At 35.4% G+C, this 19701-nt stretch overlaps 1 protein-coding gene across 57 annotated transcripts in view; it reads left to right on the top strand.

The window, feature by feature from the left end:
• FKTN (fukutin) overlaps positions 1-19701 on the top strand; it is an 82989-nt gene that overhangs the window by 49055 nt on the left and 14233 nt on the right. For 18 of the 57 annotated variants that reach the window (XM_047422979.1, XM_047422974.1, XM_047422978.1 and 15 more), the window contains 4 exons: positions 635-767; positions 8094-8223; positions 10775-10908; positions 12750-12877. In XM_047422979.1, the coding sequence (XP_047278935.1) occupies positions 635-767; positions 8094-8223; positions 10775-10908; positions 12750-12877 (525 nt within the window). Of the gene's footprint in view, positions 1-634; positions 768-8093; positions 8224-10774; positions 10909-12721; positions 12970-15865; positions 16038-17097; positions 17223-19701 lie in introns of those variants that run through there. The other 39 variants (XM_017014462.2, XM_047422969.1, XM_047422967.1 and 36 more) reach the window with 12 other exon arrangements.

Consider the following 19701-nt stretch of genomic DNA (forward strand, 5'->3'; position numbering starts at 1 on the left):
TAATATTTTTAGAGTATGGGATCCAAAATACATAAGATAGATTTGCAGATTAGCATTTTACCCATTAATGAGATTCTCAGGCCATTGTAATTAACTTGTGTGTCTTAAGTGTTAAAAACATTTACTTCTCTAAAAGTAAACTGATAATTAAAAATTATGTCACAAAATTTTTGTTTCTGCTTAAAATGCCAAGTGTGTATGAACAAGTACAAATATATTAATATATAAATACATTAACCAAAATAATTAAAACTCAACTGTTTGATGTCAGATTTTTCAAGGTCTTATTAAAATTGCTAATTGATATCTGACATAATTGATGAAACTATGCTTGATGTTTAGGTATTTTGCTAATGTTTGATATTTGTAAGAGGCTGCCAGTATTCTGGGTTAAATCCTTTTAATAAATCTTTTATTATTATTATTATTATTTTTAAATTTTACTTTAAGTAGTGGGACACATGTACTGAACGTGCAGGTTTGTTACATAGGTATACATGTGCCATGGTAGTTTGCTGCACCTATCAACCTGTTATCTAGGTTTTAAGCTCTGCACGCATTAGGTATTTGTCCTAATGTTCTCCCTCCCTGTTTCCCCCACCCCTCATTAATAAATCTTAACTTTTGTTTTCAGGCCAGAGTTACAGCAAGTTACTGTTGATGGACTGGAAGTTCTCATTCCAAAGGATCCAATGCACTTTGTAGAAGAAGTACCACACTCTAGGTTTATTGAGTGTAGGTATAAAGAAGCTCGAGCATTCTTTCAGGTTAGAGACAACCAAATGTGTACTTTTAAATTAAAGAAAATGTTGGGATTATTTTTAATATTTGAGGGTGGTAAGATGAAGGGGCTTATGGAAAATAGAAAAGTAAACATCCTTTTTTGATATGTCTCTTTTCTTCTAGATTGTTTTCTTTCAGTTTTTTTTAGAAGTAGATTAAAAATTAACCTTAAGAAACTATTTTCTAAGTCAATAGGTTGATATTTATTTATTGTTTTATTTGAATAACTTTAATAGATTTAGCACTGGCTTCTGCCTTAAGATAGCCCATTAACTTTGTGAAAGGTGGTGTATTCTCAGTCCAAGTAGGATAAAGCCACTATAGAAGATGGACCATGTAGATTTAGAAAAGACTTCATGAAAATACAGTTTGTTTCAGAGTTGGCATTGAATATAATTTTTTTTGCATTTATGAAGGTTTTTGAAGATAAATGCTACACAAAGACCAGGTGCTTTTAAAACTTTATTCTCTTGCTGCAGCTTTCAATTCAATACACATTTATTGTGTTCCGCAGGCTTCTGGCCCTGGGGATATAAAGATGATTTTGAAAGGCATGAAAGTTCAGCTCTAAGAGATGACATGAAACACAGAGATACAGTGAAAACAGGCAAATTTACAGTGGGGTTTTGGTACCTGAATTCTTTCACTTGCCCTTTATTTTCTGGGGTTCCCTGCCAAGAAAGCTGTGTCCACGAGGGATACGAAAATGAAGTATATAACTGTCAAGTGCCCAAGACCCACAAATCTGAGGTTTCTCTAATACAGTGTACTGGCACCTAAAGCTGAGGCCTGACAGCCCAAGTGGGCCTTCGTAGCCCTATTTCCTTAAGTCATTGTGGAGCTGTGAAATTTATGCAGCCAGCCTCATGAATAAAAAGCTGAAAAACCACATGTGTGGATGGGCCTACTCTAGTAGAAAAGTGCTGCCTGACATATGCCTACCACATAATAACAGGAAGTAGAAGAGATGGAGTTTTGTGCTTAAACTTGACCGCTCTTCCTGTCCTAAGGGAGTTTGCTGTGGTTGTCATCTCTATTATAGCAATTATCACAGTGAATTATGAATATCTGTCTTGTCCTCTTATCAAATTTTATGAACTTCTTGATAACAGGAGTGTTCTTTTATTTACCTGTGTTGGCCCAGTATCTACTGTACCTGGCATAAAGAAAAGATCCAGTAGGGTCAGTTTTCAAATTAAAGTGAACATACATGTATTTGAACACTTGATGGCGCCAAACAGTCTTAAATGTAATGCTTGGTGTAAAGCAATAAATTAATCTAATAGACCTCATCAAGCAGCCGCCTTTCTTTTTTTAAAATAATTTTTAAAAAGCAATTTTAAATACATAAAAGCTGCAAGTACAGTACCGATAACTTTTTTTTTTCTGAACCACTTGGGAGTAAGATGTTGACCACAACTTCAAAAAATTTAGTATTTTTTTAAAAATAGGAACATTCTCTACATGTCCTAATATGAAAGTTAGGAAATTAGCACATACATTTTTACCATTTAATCCCTATTCAATTTTTGTCAGTTGTCCCAATAATAACCTTTGTAATAAAAAGATTCGATTCAGAATCACATGTTGTCTTAATTTTCCTGTCTCTTTAGTCTTCTTCAGTCTGGGACAGTTTCTCAGTTCTTTTATTACTTTCATGACTAATACTTTGGAAGATTACAAGCCAGATGTTTTGTGCAGTGTCCCTCATTTGGGGTTTGTCCGGGGGTTCCTCATGTTAGATTTAGGTTATACTTCTTTAGAAGGTATAGAAGTGGTGCTGTGTTCTCATTACATCTCACTGGGCACTGCATAATTTTGATTTATCCCATTACTGTTGATATTCACATTGTTCACCTGATTAAAGTGCTGTCTGAAACTTCGTATCTTTACCACTATGAAGTTTCTGTTTTTCCCTTTATAATAATAAGCATCTGGCAAGAAGTTACTTTAAAACTATGTAAATATTGTTTTCCTCATTACATTTTCAATTTATTTGTTCATATCAATATAAATAAATTCATGGTTTCCTATTTTACCCTATGGGTTATAGTCAATTATTTTCATTATTTATTTTGATCTTCAGATTGTTCCATATTTGGCCAGTAGAAACTCCTTCATAATGCTTTCTGTGTCCTTTTGACTTGTCTCCGTTGTTTTTTGAACACTTTAGTACTTTTTGGCACTATAAAATATTCTGGGTTCATCTTACAATTTTCATACCTCCACCCTGGGATCAGCCATTTCTTTAAGTCCTGTTTCCTTTTAGAAGCCAAGACCTGGATGCCAGGTGTACCCATTGCTATTTGGGTTTTGCTGCAGAGAGTTTCTCTCAGTGAACAGGGGTAGGGTGTATATGTCTGTGTGTATTTATTTCTGTATCTATCTATTGAAACCTCTGAATTCACATTGACATCTCCAGTCCGGTTAAAAGTTCCAATTAAACAACAGAGTTCATTTCCATATTTGCGACTCCCTTTTCAAATCGTGAGAAATCTGACTCCCATTGACCTTAATGTTTACTTAGTTGTTCAGTCTCCCTGTATGTAACCTATCTTCCAACACATGTCCTCCCCTCCCTACCCCCTGTTCTTCTCACCCTACCTGGGCACTGCTATCCTCTGCTGGGCTGCACACACGTAGAGGCATTCTTCTTACCCTGTTCAGGCTCTGACTTCCCACACCTGGCTGCTGTTCTGCAGAGAGGCTTTCCTCACCCTGCTTGGGCTCTGACTCCCCACACTGGACACTCTCCTACTCTCTTCATGTGGATGTCCTCATTACCTGCCTAGGCTCTGATACCCCGTATCAGGCAATCCCTTTGCACAAAAACCTTTCTTGCTCTGCCCCATCTAATGGTTTTAGTATCGAATAGTTCAGGAAGGGCGGGAGACTTTATTTACTTTTAATTATTTTCTCAATCTACCATGAAGTTCAAAAACTAGAATAATATACCTTTTCCTGAATTTGATTTTGTTTTAGCAAAAACCATCACAAGATAATTAATGAGCTCCAGGCTGTTGAATATCAGTGAAAAACCAAAAGGAAAGTTGGAAATACCTGTACACCTGGCCTAGGAATATCTAGATAACAATATTTTTATTTTATTTCTACTAATTTGCTCTAAGATTTTGGGCAAATTTCTGAGCCTTGGTTTCCTCATCTACAATAAGAGTTGGTACCTTCTGTCATCTTATTCTTTGATATAAGGTTTGTGCTTTTGGATTCCACGATTCTTCTTGGGCTTTGTGTCCCCGTTCATTGGCTGAACAGGAAAAATTAAATAAACATGATATTTAAAGTAGGATATTAATTTTGTCTTTTTTTAGAGGTATAGTAATCCTGAGATTTGTACTTGGGATTTATTTTTATTTGTTTACTTATTTATTTTATTTTTAACTTGTAAGTTCAGGGGTACAAGTGCAAGTTTGTTACATAGGTAAACTTGTGTTGTGGGGGTTTGTTGTACAGATTATTTCACCACCCAAGTATTAAGCCTAGTACCTATTAGTTATTTTTCCTGGTCCTCTTTCTCCTCCCACCCTCCAAAAGAACCCATTGTGTGTTGTTCCCCTCTATGCGTCCATGTGTTCTCATCATTTAGCTCCCACTTATAAAAACATGAAGTATTAGGTTTTCTGTTCCTGTGTTAGTTTGCTAAAGATAATGGCCTTCAGCTCCATCCATGTCCCTGCAAAGAACATGATCTTGTTCTTTTTTATGGCTGCATAGTATTCCATGGTGTATATATACTACATTTTATTTATCCAGTCTATCATTGATGAGCATTTAGATTGATTCCATGCCTTTGCTATTGTGAATAGTGCTGCAGGGAACACACACATGTATGTGTCTTTATAAGAGAATGAATGATTTATATTCCTTTCAGTATATACCTGATAATGGAATTGCTGGGTCAAACAGTATTTCTGTCTTTAGGTCATTGAGGAATCACCACACTGTCTTCCACAATGGTTGAACTAATTTACACTCCCACCAACCGTGTATAAGTGTTCCTTTTTCTCCACAACCTCACCAATATCTGGGGTTTATTTTATTTTATTTTATTTTATTTTATTAGTTTTTTTTTACTTGTTATAGTAGCCACTCTGACTGGTATTAGATAGTATCGTATTGTTTTTTATTGCATTTTCTAATGATCAGTGATGTTGAACTTTTTTCATATGATTGTTGGCCACATGTATGTCTTTTGAAAAGTGTCTGTTCGTGTCCTTCACCCACTTTTTAATGGGGTTGTTTGGTTTTTTCCTTGAAAATTTGTTTAAGTTCCTGATAGATGCTGGATATTAGACCTAATAGTTAAGGTTTGCAAACCATAGTTTGCAAAAATGCTCTCCCATTCCATAGGTTATATGTTTACTCTGTTGATAGTTTCTTTTGCTGTGCAGAAGCTCTTTATTTTAATTAGATCCTATTTGTCAGTTTTTGCTTTTGTTGCAATTTCTTTTGGCATCTTCATGAAATTTTTGCCTGTGCCTGTGTCCTAAATGGTATTGCCTGGGTTATCTTCCAGGGTTTTATAGTTTTGGGTTTTACATTTAAGTCTTTAATCTATCTTGTACAGGATATTTTTAAATGAAAAAAGTATGTATACTATAATTTTTAAAATTTATAGCAGATGTTTAAGGTATATAGCTCTATGCATGTATGCACTTTAACACATACAAGGATCAGTTCTGAGAAATGGAATTTCTGGCTGGGCGCCATGGCTCACGCCTGTAATCCTAGCACTTTGGGAGGCCAAGGCGGGTGGATTGCCTGAGCTCAGGAGTTTGAGACCAGCCTGGGCAACATGGCGAAACCCCGGCTCTACAAAACACACAAAAATTAGCTGGACATGGTGGTGTGCACTTGTAATCCCAGCTACTTGGAAGGCTGAGGTAGAAGAATCACTTGAACCCAGGAGGTGGAGGTTGCAGTGAGCCAAGATCATGCCCCTAAATTCCAGCCTGGGCAACAGAGAGAGGAGACTTTGTCTCCAAAAAAAAAAAGAAATGGAATTTCTGAGAGTGTCATGTTAAGAAAAGTAGATTGGGGTGGGAATATGTCCATATGGGAGCAGTACCAGCAGCAGGTAACTATCAGACCTGATGTTTTTGTAGAGCACAAATTTTTCATATTTGCTGTTTAGTCCTTTCAGTCACTCTGTGTAATAAGGCAAGGATTCTTTTAACAGGTAAGAAAATTGATGTTTCAAGATGTCAGTTACATGGTCATCATTGGTTGAGCATGGACTAAATCCTAGGTCTCCACCTCTTAACTCCAGGCTTTTCCTACTACAACAAGCATTATAACATGTATCTCTCATTCCAGTCATTTATTGTAAGAGCACTTATGGCTTTGAGGAAAGGGATGTATTCAAATTGAAGGGATCCTGTGTAATTTGTATATTCTGTAGACAGTGACTTATCTGCAAGAAATTCTTCTTACTGAAGGTAGGGTACTTTTTGCTTAAGATTCATATAGTCCATCCAGGATCTATATTCTTTCCTACTATATTGTAAAAGAATTACAGGATATTTTAGGATGTTGCAGGCCTGGGAGGGGCTTAGTCAATCATTTATTCATTTGCCCATTCATCAGTATGTGTTTTTCAGATATTATGTGCCAGGCACCATTCTAAACCTGTAGATACAGTGATGAAGAGATGTAGTACTTGCCCTCAGGGAACTATCTTTACAGTCTAGTGGAGGGAATATAAAATTGATGATTAGGAATAAATATGATATGAATTATAGTAAAAGTATTTACAAGTGGTAACTATTATAAGCTTGTTAAGGAAAAAGATAATTCATTTGTCTTTGTATATCTAGAACCAAACATAATTCTTTGCTCTATAAATGTTGAATAGAAACACTTCCTGAATAGGAACATTGGAAGAATAAATACATATGTCTTCCTGGGAAAACTGGGGAATGTTTTGCAGAGGTTGGAGCTGAGACTTGAAAGATTTTATTGATCAGGGCCATATCAGACAAAGGAAACAAGTGCGGAGGCTTGAAAAGTTGTGGTGTATTTGAGGAGTTACAAGTTATTGTGGTATATTTGGGGGTTTACAAGTTATAAGATGAAGTGTGAGGAGATGCAGATGAGGCTGGACCCCAGTAGTCAGGAACCAGAACACAGTGTTTATGTCCACCAGGACAAGAAGTTTAGATTTTGTCCCACAGGTAGCGAAGCAACACTATAGAATTTATAGTGCTTTCCTCAGCTCCAGAACACTCTAAAAACGAAGAGAATCAGAAAACCAAGATGACTAAATGATATATATGACCTGACAATTTGCAAGACATTTTTCTCCTTCAATCTTCACAGCAGTCCTGTGAAGTATAATAATTATCTTTAAACTACAAATGAGAAAAGTAGATACAAGAGAGATTTGTTTATTACATTCTTTCATTCATTCAGCAAATACTCAGGCACTACTCTACCCACTGGAGATATAATGATAAAATGAATGCACTTTCCTCATAGAAAGTGAGGATGATATGTACATGGTCAAAGCTAAAAAGAAGTGCACTAGATTTGATAATCTGATTCAAAATCTCAGGCTTTTTCTACTATACTACACAGTCTCTAAAGACCAATAGAATCACTGAATGGTGAAAACATTATTAAATTCTTTTTGTTTCAGCTATGTTTGTAGCTCTCATAATTAGCTTTATTTTATCCTGATTGTCCAGCTACTAAATTGTGATGTAAAGGAGGGAGCTGATAAAAGGATGTCTCATCCTTTGGGAATCCTGGTTCTATTCTTTCCCTTTTAATTTATCTCTCCAAGAATCTGCTCTTAAGTGTTCATTTTAATGTGGGACAAACAAGTAACTGTAAAATGTGGTTTTTATAATATAAAAAGATTATATGGGGTTAGTTTTCTTTTTTTTCTCCTTTCTTTCTTTTTTTTTTTTCTTTTTTGAGACAGTCTCATTCTGTCGCCCAGGCTGGAGTATAGTGGTGTGATCTTTGCTTACTGCAACCTCCACCTCCCGGGTTCAAGTGATTCTCTTGCCTCAACCTCTCGAGTAGCTGGAACTATAGGCGCGGGCCACCACTCTCAGCTAATTTTTATGTTTTTAGTAGAGATGGGGTTTTGCCATGTGGGCCAGGCCAGTTTTGAACTCCTGACCCCAAGTGATCCACCTGCCTTGGCTTCCCAAAGTTCTGGGGTTACAGGCGTGAGCCACTGTGCCCAGCCTGGGGTTAATTTTCAAATTTAATTCAGATGCCACAGAAAGGTTCCTAGCAATTTAGAAATGGCTGTAATAGCTGACTATTTATTATATCTGTAGCAGTACCTTGATGATAACACTGTGGAAGCTGTGGCCTTTCGGAAGAGTGCAAAGGAATTACTGCAACTAGCAGCGAAAACATTAAACAAATTGGGAGTACCATTCTGGCTGAGCAGTGGAACTTGTCTAGGTAAAATTCTTACGACTTTCCATTTGTCTTTCTGTCATTTTGTCCTCTGGCTTTAGGGATTACTGCTTGAGATGACAAAATATCAGTGACATTTGAAGTGTCATGTGTATAGACAGAATAAACATGAGTGCATGCAGCAAGGATCTATTGATTTCCTTAAAGAAATTAATTTGAGAATTATAAAAAAGAATGTTAGAAAGGCCATGGTTGTGTTTACTCATAATTATAAATAATATGTATAAAATGTATATCAGAACATGTAGACTATACAATAGTCCCCCCTTATCCATGGACAATACATTCCAAGACCACCAGTGGATGCCTGAAATCTCCGATAGTACTGAACCCTATATACGCTGCTCTTTCCCTATACATACATATGATGTTTAATTTATAAATTAGGCACAGTAAGAGATGAACAACAATAAATAATAAAATGGAACAATTTTAACAATACTATAATAAAAGTTGTGTGTGATCTCTGTCTCTCAGAGTATCTTATTTTACTGTACTCACTGTTATTCTTCTTACGATGGTGTGAGATGATAAAATGCCTACATGATGAGATGAAGGGAGATGAAGGATGTAGGCATTGTGATGTAGTGTTAGTCTACTATTGAAAATTTCCTGGGAAAATCAAGGAATGTGTCACAGAGGCTAAATCTGAGCCCTGAAAGATTTGATTTAACACTTCTGAATTGTTTATTTCTGGAATTTACCATTTAATATCTTCAGATCGTGGTTGTCCACAGGTAACTGAAACTGCTAAAAGCAAAACCACGGATATGGCAGGACTACTATAGTTGATTCTCAGATAATCCTTAAATTAGCATTTTATTATTTCTATCCCAAAGATTGTTATTGCCTTTTTTTATAATTATAAAAAACCCTCTATTTCTTTACTTATATACCATTCAAACAGCTTGCATTGCACCAAATGTTTCTACTGAGAGGAACATTAAAGACAGTGTCATAAGGTCTTCCATCAGCCTTTCCTAGGTCATTGGTAGTATCACTAACTAGACATCACTGTTCATCTGACATGGACATACAGACTTTTCTACAGTCCTTAAGCAGGTTGCTATTAGAATCTGTGAGTGATTTCTGGGTCTCTGTCCACTGTCCATTAAATCAAACTTCTTTGGAATTTAGAATTATTTAGAATCTTAAATTTTGTTTTGTGTTTATTTGTTGTCTCTTGATTATCATGATAGTTAATTATAGCTGTATTTGCTTTTTCTTTATAGTAACCATATCTGTACAAAAGTTAATTCAACTCCTGCCTTTATAGGGATAGGGTTGCCATCCAATTTATTGTTCAATTCAAGAGACTTGAGAGTGAAAGGAAGCACCATTAATAATTATGTTGGTACAACAGGCATAAACTGGGATATACGGTTATCCTATCTATTAGCCTTTGTTGAAAATTTACATGGTTCTTCCTGCCAAGGAGCTTACTACTAGAATAAGCCAAAAAAAAAAAAAAAGTACATCTCACACATTTATGTGATATTTGCTTTAAGGTTTAATTTTTTAGAAACAAGATTGTTTTATAATGTGTGTCATCAAAGACACTTCATAGTCATTTGACATGATTTGTTTTGAGTTTTCAGTCCCATGGTTTTCTGTCTGATTTAAGGGCACTTATGAGGGAGTTGTATTAGATGATATTTAAGAAAACTTTTATTTTTAATTGTTTATAATTCTTTAATAGAATTATTTTAGAATTCCAAACAATATTATCCAACAGCAATGCCTATAAGGATAATCGCAGTCATTTATTTACTTTTGAAATAATTGGAATGAAATGATTAGAAAGATCATAGGGGAGACCCAGGAGTCCTTAATAATATTAAGGTACATGTTTTATTTCTTCAGAACAGTGCTATAGCAATGAATTAGAGCACATACGTGGTAAACACTTAGAAATATCATTTGGCAGTGTGTTGAACATTGAAGCTGCTACTGCTTTTCTTTTTCATACGGCCCATCAGGTGGTCACTGTTGAGAGCTGTTAGGTTCTACAAATTATTGCTCAAGAAAAATATATTGGTTAAGCAAAAGAATTAAATATTTTTTGCATATCTTAACAGCCCCCTCTATCACTAGAGATTAATGATTAAACATTCTTATCAGCAACTTAGTGTTATTAAAGCTAATGGTTTATTCAGAAACTAAAATATATCATGAAAGTTTTTGAGGAAGCTGAGAGTGCTCAGACAGTAAAAATAGATACATAGATAGATAGAAGGTTCAGGTGACTGCTCAAACAAAGTCATTTAGTTTGAGGTTTAATTTTTAAAAATAATTTTGGTGAAGCATCTTAAGTCTAATCCTGTGAAATAAAATCCATTCTATAGCCCCAGCCACTCAAGAGGCCAAGGCAGGAGGATCACTTGAGCCAGGAGTTTGCGTACAGCCTGGGCAATATAGTGAGACTCTGTCTCTTTAAAAAAAAAGAAAAAAAATCCTTGTTACAAATATAATTTGTTATAATAACTAATTTTTTCCAAACCTAAATTTTGTTAAAAAAATTTAATCTTCTTTTTAGGATGGTATCGACAATGCAACATTATTCCTTATAGCAAAGATGTTGACCTAGGAATTTTTATACAAGATTACAAATCTGATATTATTTTAGCATTTCAGGATGCAGGACTTCCGCTCAAACACAAATTTGGGAAGGTCAGTAACAAAAGTCGGCTTCATTTCATAAGTAACATATCTCACTTGTAAAGTTTACATTAAGCAACTCAGATATGGTTAAGAATGCTACATACATAATTTTATCACTCAGTATTGACTAGGATGAGTTCAGCAGAAGCCTGTTACCACTTGTAATTTCTGCACTGTCTAGGCAAAAGCAAGAAAATCTGGCTTTCTACTGGGTTGGTGCAAAAGTAATTGTGGTTTTTGCCATTACTTTTGCACCAATAATGATAAGAAAAGAAGGATCTTGAACTCTTATAGGTGAATGTATTGCTATTATATTAGGCAACAATGTAATATAAAATCAATATAATGTATAATATACAATTAATAAGTAAGAATCCCACCCGCCGTACCTGATTGTTTCTCATGAGTCATTTAATTTACAGATGTCATTATCAACATAAAATATTCCATTGATTGCTAAGGGATAGAAATATAGAATCATTTCAAATAAGTACTTCAATTTCTTGTTTATCTTATATGTCCTAGGCTATAGCAGTTTGCTCAGACATCAACTAGGGATAGGTCATTGGGGCCTAGATGAAATCTCCCTCTAGACAATTTGATTCCTATGCCCTAAGCCCATGATCTCTTGCAATCATCTTGTTCTTAATTTGCTTGTCCCCTCGGAGGTGTTACCCTACAAGCAAGTAAAAATATGTTTAGTCGGCTGGGCGCGGTGGCTCACGCCTGTAATCCCAGCACTATGGGAGGCCGAGGCGGGTGGATCATGAGGTCAGGAGATCGAGACCACAGTGAAACCCCATCTCTACTAAAAATACAAAAAAAATTAGCCGGGCGCGGTGGCGGGCGCCTGTAGTCCCAGCTACTGGGGAGGCTGAGGCAGGAGAATGGCGTGAACCTGGGAGGCGGAGCTTGCAGTGAGCTGAGATCGCGCCACTGCACTCCAGCCTGGGCGACAGAGCAAGACTCCGTCTTAAAAAAAAAAAAAAAAAGTTTAGTCACCAGAAAATTATTTTTTCCATCATAAATAGTTATTTTATGTTACTAAAAAATATAAATAAAATATTTTACTGAGGTCAAAGTCAAATAACAGAGCTCTAGTTATTCAGCAAACATTTACCAAACATTCACTATAAGTATGGCACTGTCCTCTGCACCTGGGAGACAAAGATGAATAAATGATAGTTCTTACCCTTGAGAAGCTCACTGTCTAATTGGGAGGGGGAAAGGCTGCATAAATAATTCTGTGATGAGTGCTGTGGCGGACAGATGTACCAAGTCCAATGGGAACGTAATTATTTGTATGATAAGTTTTCTTTAGGGAAATGTTCTCAGAATTATTTATTTTTTTACCTTAACTTTTATTTTTTTCTTTTTTCCATGTGTGTAGTATAATGAGCTAGACTATTTATGTATGTGGCTATGAGGAATGCCACTTTACTTAAGTACTTATTGATTGTTATGAGAGACTTATTTCCTGATAGTTTTATTTGGATTATTAAAGGAAATAATATTTCTTTGGTTCTTTTCCTTTTTTAGTCAGAAAGCTGCTCTGGAATAGGATATTTCTATTTTTTTTCTGCAGTGATAATTACCATAAGTCATTTACTCTGAGTTATCATCAATTGTAAGAAACATTATTTTAGATGCAGTTAAGAAATTAAATGATATGTTACTGATGCATCCCAATTTCAGAGGTGCCTTAACTTGAAAAAATGTGCATCTTAGAATGAATACTCTATGTATGTAAAACTTAAGAATCTGTTTCTTTATTTTTATTTTTTAAAAAAAGGTTTTTAAAAATGTATTTCCTTTGTTTCAGTGTGTGAAGGTTTTCATCTTCCCCATAGGTAGAAGACAGCTTGGAACTATCCTTCCAGGGAAAAGATGATGTAAAACTTGATGTTTTTTTCTTCTATGAAGAAACTGATCACATGTGGAATGGAGGCACTCAGGCCAAAACAGGAAAAAAATTCAAGTATGAATCAAATAAGTACTTATTTATAAAGGTACTACAGAAATAATTTCAGGAGGTAGAAATAAAGAAGTAACTGAAAAGAAAACCAAAAATCTCTTTCAAGACTCCATTATTAGCTAACACTTTCTTAGCTTACCCATAGAGTCCAGTTATGCCTGTGAAGTAAGAATACCTGTAAGGACGGTTTGTGAGGAGGAAGTGTCCCTGGGTTTGTCAGTCCAAGTTGATGATACAGCTGGTCTATTCTCAGTTCTGAGAGAGAGAATGAGAATGAGAACCTGAAGAGCATGGGTTTTAGAGTCAGGCTGACCTGGGAAACCTTAGCTCCACCCTAATTTGTGGCCTTTAGATTTTCTGAACGTAATCATTTTATCCATTACATTGAGTAATACTACTGTGTGTCAGGCACTATTCTGAACGTTTTACATATATTAACCCATCTAGTCCTCAAAATAACCTTCAGAGGTAGATATTCTGAAGCCAGTGTGATTGCTGTTGAATCTCAGCTCTTTATTTTACCAGCTATATTACCTTGAGCAAGTTATTTAACCTCTCTGCCTAAGTTTCCTCAGCTGTAAAATGGAAATTATAGTAGAAATTGCCACATAGAGTGGTTTTAAGGATTAAAAGAATTAATACACAAAAAGAGCTTTGAGGTGTGTCAGGAGGTCCTGGGTGCTAAGTAATTATTACCTGCTGTTACTAATACTACTATAGTAGTAGTAGTAGTAGTAGTAGTAGTAGTAGTAGTAGTAGTAGTAAAGAAAACTATTTCTCTTCTTATTCTCATGAGAAATTTACAGATTAGAGACATGTATAATTATCTCAATATTAAACTGTTACATCTATTCTTAGAGAACTTCTGTAAGAGTGTCACCTTTTTTCTAAGAAAGATAATTTCTAGAGCCAGTATTAGAGTCCTGTTATTCTTAAATTACTTTCTAAGGCTTGAATTTTTTCTCTCACTGACATGATCCGAAACCTGCAAACCTCAAAAGAACTGTTCATTTCCAACTACTACATTTCTGGAGAGAAAAAGCTTCTTTCATTCTGCTTTAACAGCTCTTTATAGTAGCAGTGTTTGGGAAGTGTGAAGTGTTCTGATTATTTAACAAGAGAAATGAGCAGTGATAGAACTGTCTGGACAGATGGTGTGAGTCCCAGATTTTCTATCATGTTACTGTGACCTTAAAAGGCAGAGAAAAGAACAGGAGATGGCTGAGTAGAGTAGTTTCTTTGGAAGATTCCCCCAGCCATATGCCATTTTTATTCTTTTCGGCACTATTTACTTTAAGAAAATGTAGTATTTTTAACACTACTATTCCTTGGGGATGAAGAAAAACAAAATGTTTAAAGCTAGTTCAAGGGTCTTTTTAATGTATTTTAAATTTTTGAATAGATTATACATTACATAGTTAAAATATTCAAAGAATATAAAGGATGTGTATGAAAAGTTAACCTTTCTCCATCCTCTGCCCCTCATTTTCCCGTTTCTAGTTGCCCTTTACAGAGATAACCATGATTACTCATTTCTTATGTATCCTTTCCGAGACAAACATATGCTCGTATACATATAGTATTTACGTTCATCTCTCCCCCTTTACACAAATAGTATTATGGCATATTACACACTGTCTGTATGTTCTTTTCCTCACATAGCTATGTATCTTGGAAAATGTTCCAAATGAGTATGTATAGAAATAGCTGCATTTTATTCCATTGTATGGCAATACCATAATTTATTCAACCAATTCCCTATTGATGAATATTTAGGCTGTTTCCAGTAGTTTACTGTGACCCTCAGTTCTGCAGTCACTATCTCTGTCCATATGTCTTTATGCACACGTGTGAAACCCTGTGCAGGATAAAGTATTAGACTCAAATTTTGGGGCTAAAGGGAATATAAGCATATTTCAATTTTGATAGATATTGCCAAATTGCCCTCCAAAGATGTTTCCCCAATTTATATTCTCAACCACATGGTTTGAGAATATGGGTTTATTTTTTAAAAGTGCACTATCTGTAAAGAGAGGTAAACTTGCTCAATATTTGCCACTAATCAGTAACTTATCAATTACTTGTAATCAGTAACTAAATCTACCATACACCAAATATAATTGGGAGCACATTAGAATTACTGTTCAAACTAGTCAGTATAATGTATCATCTCACCTTCTCCAAAGGTCTTTTTGTCTTTATAATAACCTATTTTTTATTTTATATATAGTTCATTCTGAGAAAAGCTTAATAATATAGAATGCTTACTATTTTTTAAAAGGCAGAAGAGGAACTCAAGAAGGAAGAAAAAAGATTTTCTTTCTAAACTACTCTGCAGGACTATAGAATGATATCTTTGGTCCTAAGATTTAACAGTATATTAAGAGTAATAAAAAAGATAAAGCTTCCAGGATATCTGCTACCTATCAGGCACTGTGATAGGTAGTTCATATATATATTTATATATATAATCTGGTTAATCCTCATACTATCCCTGTGGGTTCGGTATTCTCACCTCCAGTTAGACATTAGGAAACTAAAGCTCAGAGTGAAGTAACTTACTCGAGGCTTTTGACTGTTAATGGCAAGATCAAGATTTAATGCCAGACCTGTTTGACCCCTAAGCCTAAATGCTTTCTTCTTAGAGTTAATAGGTTAAGTGAGTTAGTACATCTAATGCATTTAGAACAGTACCTGGCACATTGTAAGTATTGTGTAAGTAGTAGCTACTGTCAGTACTGTATTATTATTATTACTGTTACTGTTATTATAATTACCATGCTGCACTGGCATAAGGTATGGTACTTTCAGCACAGTGGTAAATTGGATTAGTAATTTTCTAGGCAGGCATATTTTCTTCCTCCGTCTCATGATACTCATTCCGTCTTTAGTTCTCAGTCTTTCACTTCTTTATAGGAAGCCCTTCTTTTACCTGAAATCCAAATTCCATTTAAAAATATTGACTGGATTCTTTATTCTGTTTTTCTCCAGCATCCAAATCTGCCAGTAATAAAAGTGATGAATATAATAACTATGCCTCCAGAATGTGAAGTTCTTAATTCAACTTCACATTTCCTAAAGATGCTGCCTAGATTTATTTGGTTTGCTTCTTTCCTTCCCATTTTGAATCAACTGGTATGGGTAGAAGCCAGAAGTTTGAAAGGTAATAATAATAGTTAACTTTATTGAATACTTACTATAAGCCAATCAATATGCCAAGCTTTTATATGTGTTATCTTATTTAATCCTCACAATAAGTTTATAAAGGAGATTTTATCATCATCACCTTTATTTTATGGATGAGCAAATTAAGGCAGACCTGAGTCAGACCTAGGTGTGTATCACTTCAGAGCCCATGTTCTTACTAAGTTAGTGTCACCATGATCTCTATCATGTTGTTAATACCCCTTCCATGAAAACATTATCAGGGTAATACAACTACTGCTACATCCTCTAATAGGAAATCTACTCCTTGGGCTAGTAGTGGGTTCCTTATACCTTCTGACAGTTGCAGCTTCTGATTATTGGATAGATCTTCAGAAAATTCAGATTCATCCTCTGTGGACCACACTCCCATCCAGGTGTGGATCCTGTGTAATTTATCACTTCATTTCTGTAAAATGTATTTACCAACTGCTATGTGCTAAGGATACTGATGTGACTGTAACTTAGTTTCTGCTCTTAAGGATCTCATGATCTAGACCATGAGACATGTTAAAGTACTCTGATAGCAGTACTGTAATCAAATATGTATAATCTATAGTTGAAGTACCAAATCAGCCATATCTAGAAACAATGGCAAAGAAGTGTGGCTTACAAGTAGAGAAATTTGTTAGGTAGACTTAGGAGAAATGTGGGAAAAGTCCTAAAAATAGATTTATTTAATGATTTTTAAATTAGTTTATTTCTATTTTTTAATTTAAAAAATTCTGTGGGCATCTGTATACGTAAAGTAAAAACTTTAAGGGGTTGTTTCCTTCAATAGATACCCAAAGGTAGAATTATTAAGTCAAAAGATATGAGCCTTTTAAAGAGTTTTGATACATATTGCCAGGTTGCATTCCTAAAAAGTTATGCAAAATTTTATACAGTCACCAACATAAATGAGCATGCTTAGTTTGCTATATCATACTGAGTGTTGCATTGTACTCACAGTCATTCATGACTCCCCTGATAGTTTCTTTGAGTAACTTTTCTTTTCACTTTCTTCTTATTATCCCAAGGTATCTTCTATCATAAAACCAGGTCAGTCATTAGTAGCAAGTTACCAACAATTATTACCTTTCTGGCCAGGCACAGTGGCTCATGCCTTTAATCCCAGCACTTCGGGAGGCCAAGGTGAGAGAACTGCTTGAGCACGGGAGTTTGAGACCAGCTTGGGCAACAGAATAAACCCTGGCTTTATATAAAAATTTTTTAAAAATTACCCAGGCATGGTGGCATGTGTCTGTGGTCCCAACTACATGGGAGGCTGAGACGGTAGGATCACCTGAGCCCAGGAAATCTAGGCTGCAGTGAGCCACATTTGCACCACTGTACTCCAGCCTAGGTGACAGAGCAAAACCAAAAAAAAAAAAAAAAAAGAAAAAGAATCATTACTTTTCTCTTAACTATTCCTAACATCAACTGGCTTTTAGTATACATCTAACCCCCTCCCTGTCGTCCCAGTCTCCCTTTCAAAATCCAGCTTTAAAATATTACAGTGCATTTTGAATGTCTTGTTATAGGTGTTTGTTAGACACTTATTATATAGAGACTTTTATATTTAAGCTTTATACAAGTGTGATTTTAGCTGAGTGAGCCCAGGAATTAGAAGACCTGAATTCAAATCTGAGTTCTATTTTTTTGTGTCATATAACCTTCTGAGCTTCAGATTTCTCCTCTTAAAATGGGAATAACACTGCGTACTTCACAGGGTATAATGCTTCGATTAAATACTGTGTAGTTACCTGATTCAGTGCTTGGCACGTAATAGATTCACAACTGTTTGCTAATTCTAAATTAGGCAGGCAGAGCATAGAAGTCTGATTAGGAAGATTCATTGCTAGGTAGCAATTAGAAAAAAAATCACATGGTAGTGAATTAAAGCCTACCAAATGTTACAGAGATGAATATAAACTTGTATTACATATAACTGCAGAGAGATATAGTTTATAGGAAAAAAACGTGTAAAGAGTACTGATTCTTTGGAAGTTTTCTCTGAAAGTGAGGGTTGAGTCAGCACAATTTGAATGAATATTGTTGAATGGGGAATTGCTATTAAGTTAGATTTGGTTGCCTCTAGGAAAAGAGACTTAGGGCCATGTAAAGATGATATTTGGCAATGCTGGTAAACTGGTTAATTGCCAGAAAGTCTTGTTGTTTGGTGGGGTTTTTGACTGGATGTAATAAAGAATCTCTCTCATAAGGCTTTTGGTGGAGAATGTAGTAAGACACAAGTCCTGTTGAGGAATATTGTTCTTGCTAGTGTGTGTAGGCATGGAAAGCTGGTATAGTGAGGAAGACTTGGGTGGTTGAGGACCTATGCTAAACAGGAGGTGACCGGAAGAAATGGTAAAAGAACTTAGCACCATGCCTGGCTGTGAACAAGGGGAGTCCAAGAAAACTAAGTGTCCAAAATAACATATAAGTTTATAATCTTAGAGCTAGAGAAAAATTAGGAAATAGTGGATTATTATGTTTTTAATTGAAGTGTAACATACATACAGAAAACTATACAAAGCAAATGTATGGCTCCAAGAATTATCAAATGAACAAATGTGTAACCAGCACCCCAGTAAAAAAAAAAAAGTATTTGTCAGCACCCCAGAAACCCATATCATTTTCCCTCACGATCATAGCTCCTGTTTCCCACAAGGTAACAGCGATGCTAACTTCTGGTATTACAGTTTAGTTTTACCTGTTTTTTTATTTTATATAAACTAGATGGTATGTTGCTGGCTTCTTTTCATTCAACATTGTATTTGTGAGAACCATCCATATTTTTACATGTTGTGGCTCTTCATTTTCTTTGCTGTGTAGTAGTTAATTGTATGAATATATCACAAATATTTATTAAGTCCACTAACCCAAATAGTAGTTGGATATTTGGGTTGTTTTCAATTTGGGGCTATTATAGGTGATGCTGTAGTGAACATTTCTGTACGTGTCTTTTAGTGCCCTGGTACATGCTTATCTTAGTTTGCTCAGGCTGCTATAACAAAATACCATAAACTGGGTGGCTCATAAACAGAAATTTATTTCTCAGGTTTCTGGATGATGGGAAGTCCAAGATAAAGGTACCAGCATGGTCAGGTTCTGGTGAAGGCCCTCCTCCTGGTTGTAGACTGCTGATTTCTCCTCACATGGTGAAAGGAGCAATCAAGCTCCCTTAGGCCTTTTTTATAAAGTTTCCATTCCTGAGTGTTTCACCCTCATGACCTAATCACCTCCCAAAGGTCTTACCTCTTAATACCGTCACCTTGGAGGTTAGGATTTCAGCATATGAATTTTGAGGAGACATAAACATTCAAACCACAGCAATGTTTTTCTATTGGGTTTACACATAAAGTTTGGGATTGCTTGGTCGTAGGGTATTCTTGTGTTCAATTTCAGCATATTGTTTACAAATAGTTTTCCAAAGTTATTCCAAGTTATATTCCAGTATGTTATAGAACTTTCCATTGCCCCACATTTTTACCAACGCTTGGCATTGTCAGACTTCTTAATTTGTAACCATTTTGGTAGGTGTGTAGTGTTACCAAATTGTAGTTTAGATTTCTTTTTCCTTGACTTAATGAAGGCAAGTTCATGTTTACTGACCATTTGGATATCCTCTTTTGTGAGTT

This window comes from Homo sapiens, chromosome 9 (assembly GCF_000001405.40).
Source record: "Homo sapiens chromosome 9, GRCh38.p14 Primary Assembly".
NCBI lineage: Eukaryota > Metazoa > Chordata > Mammalia > Primates > Hominidae > Homo > Homo sapiens.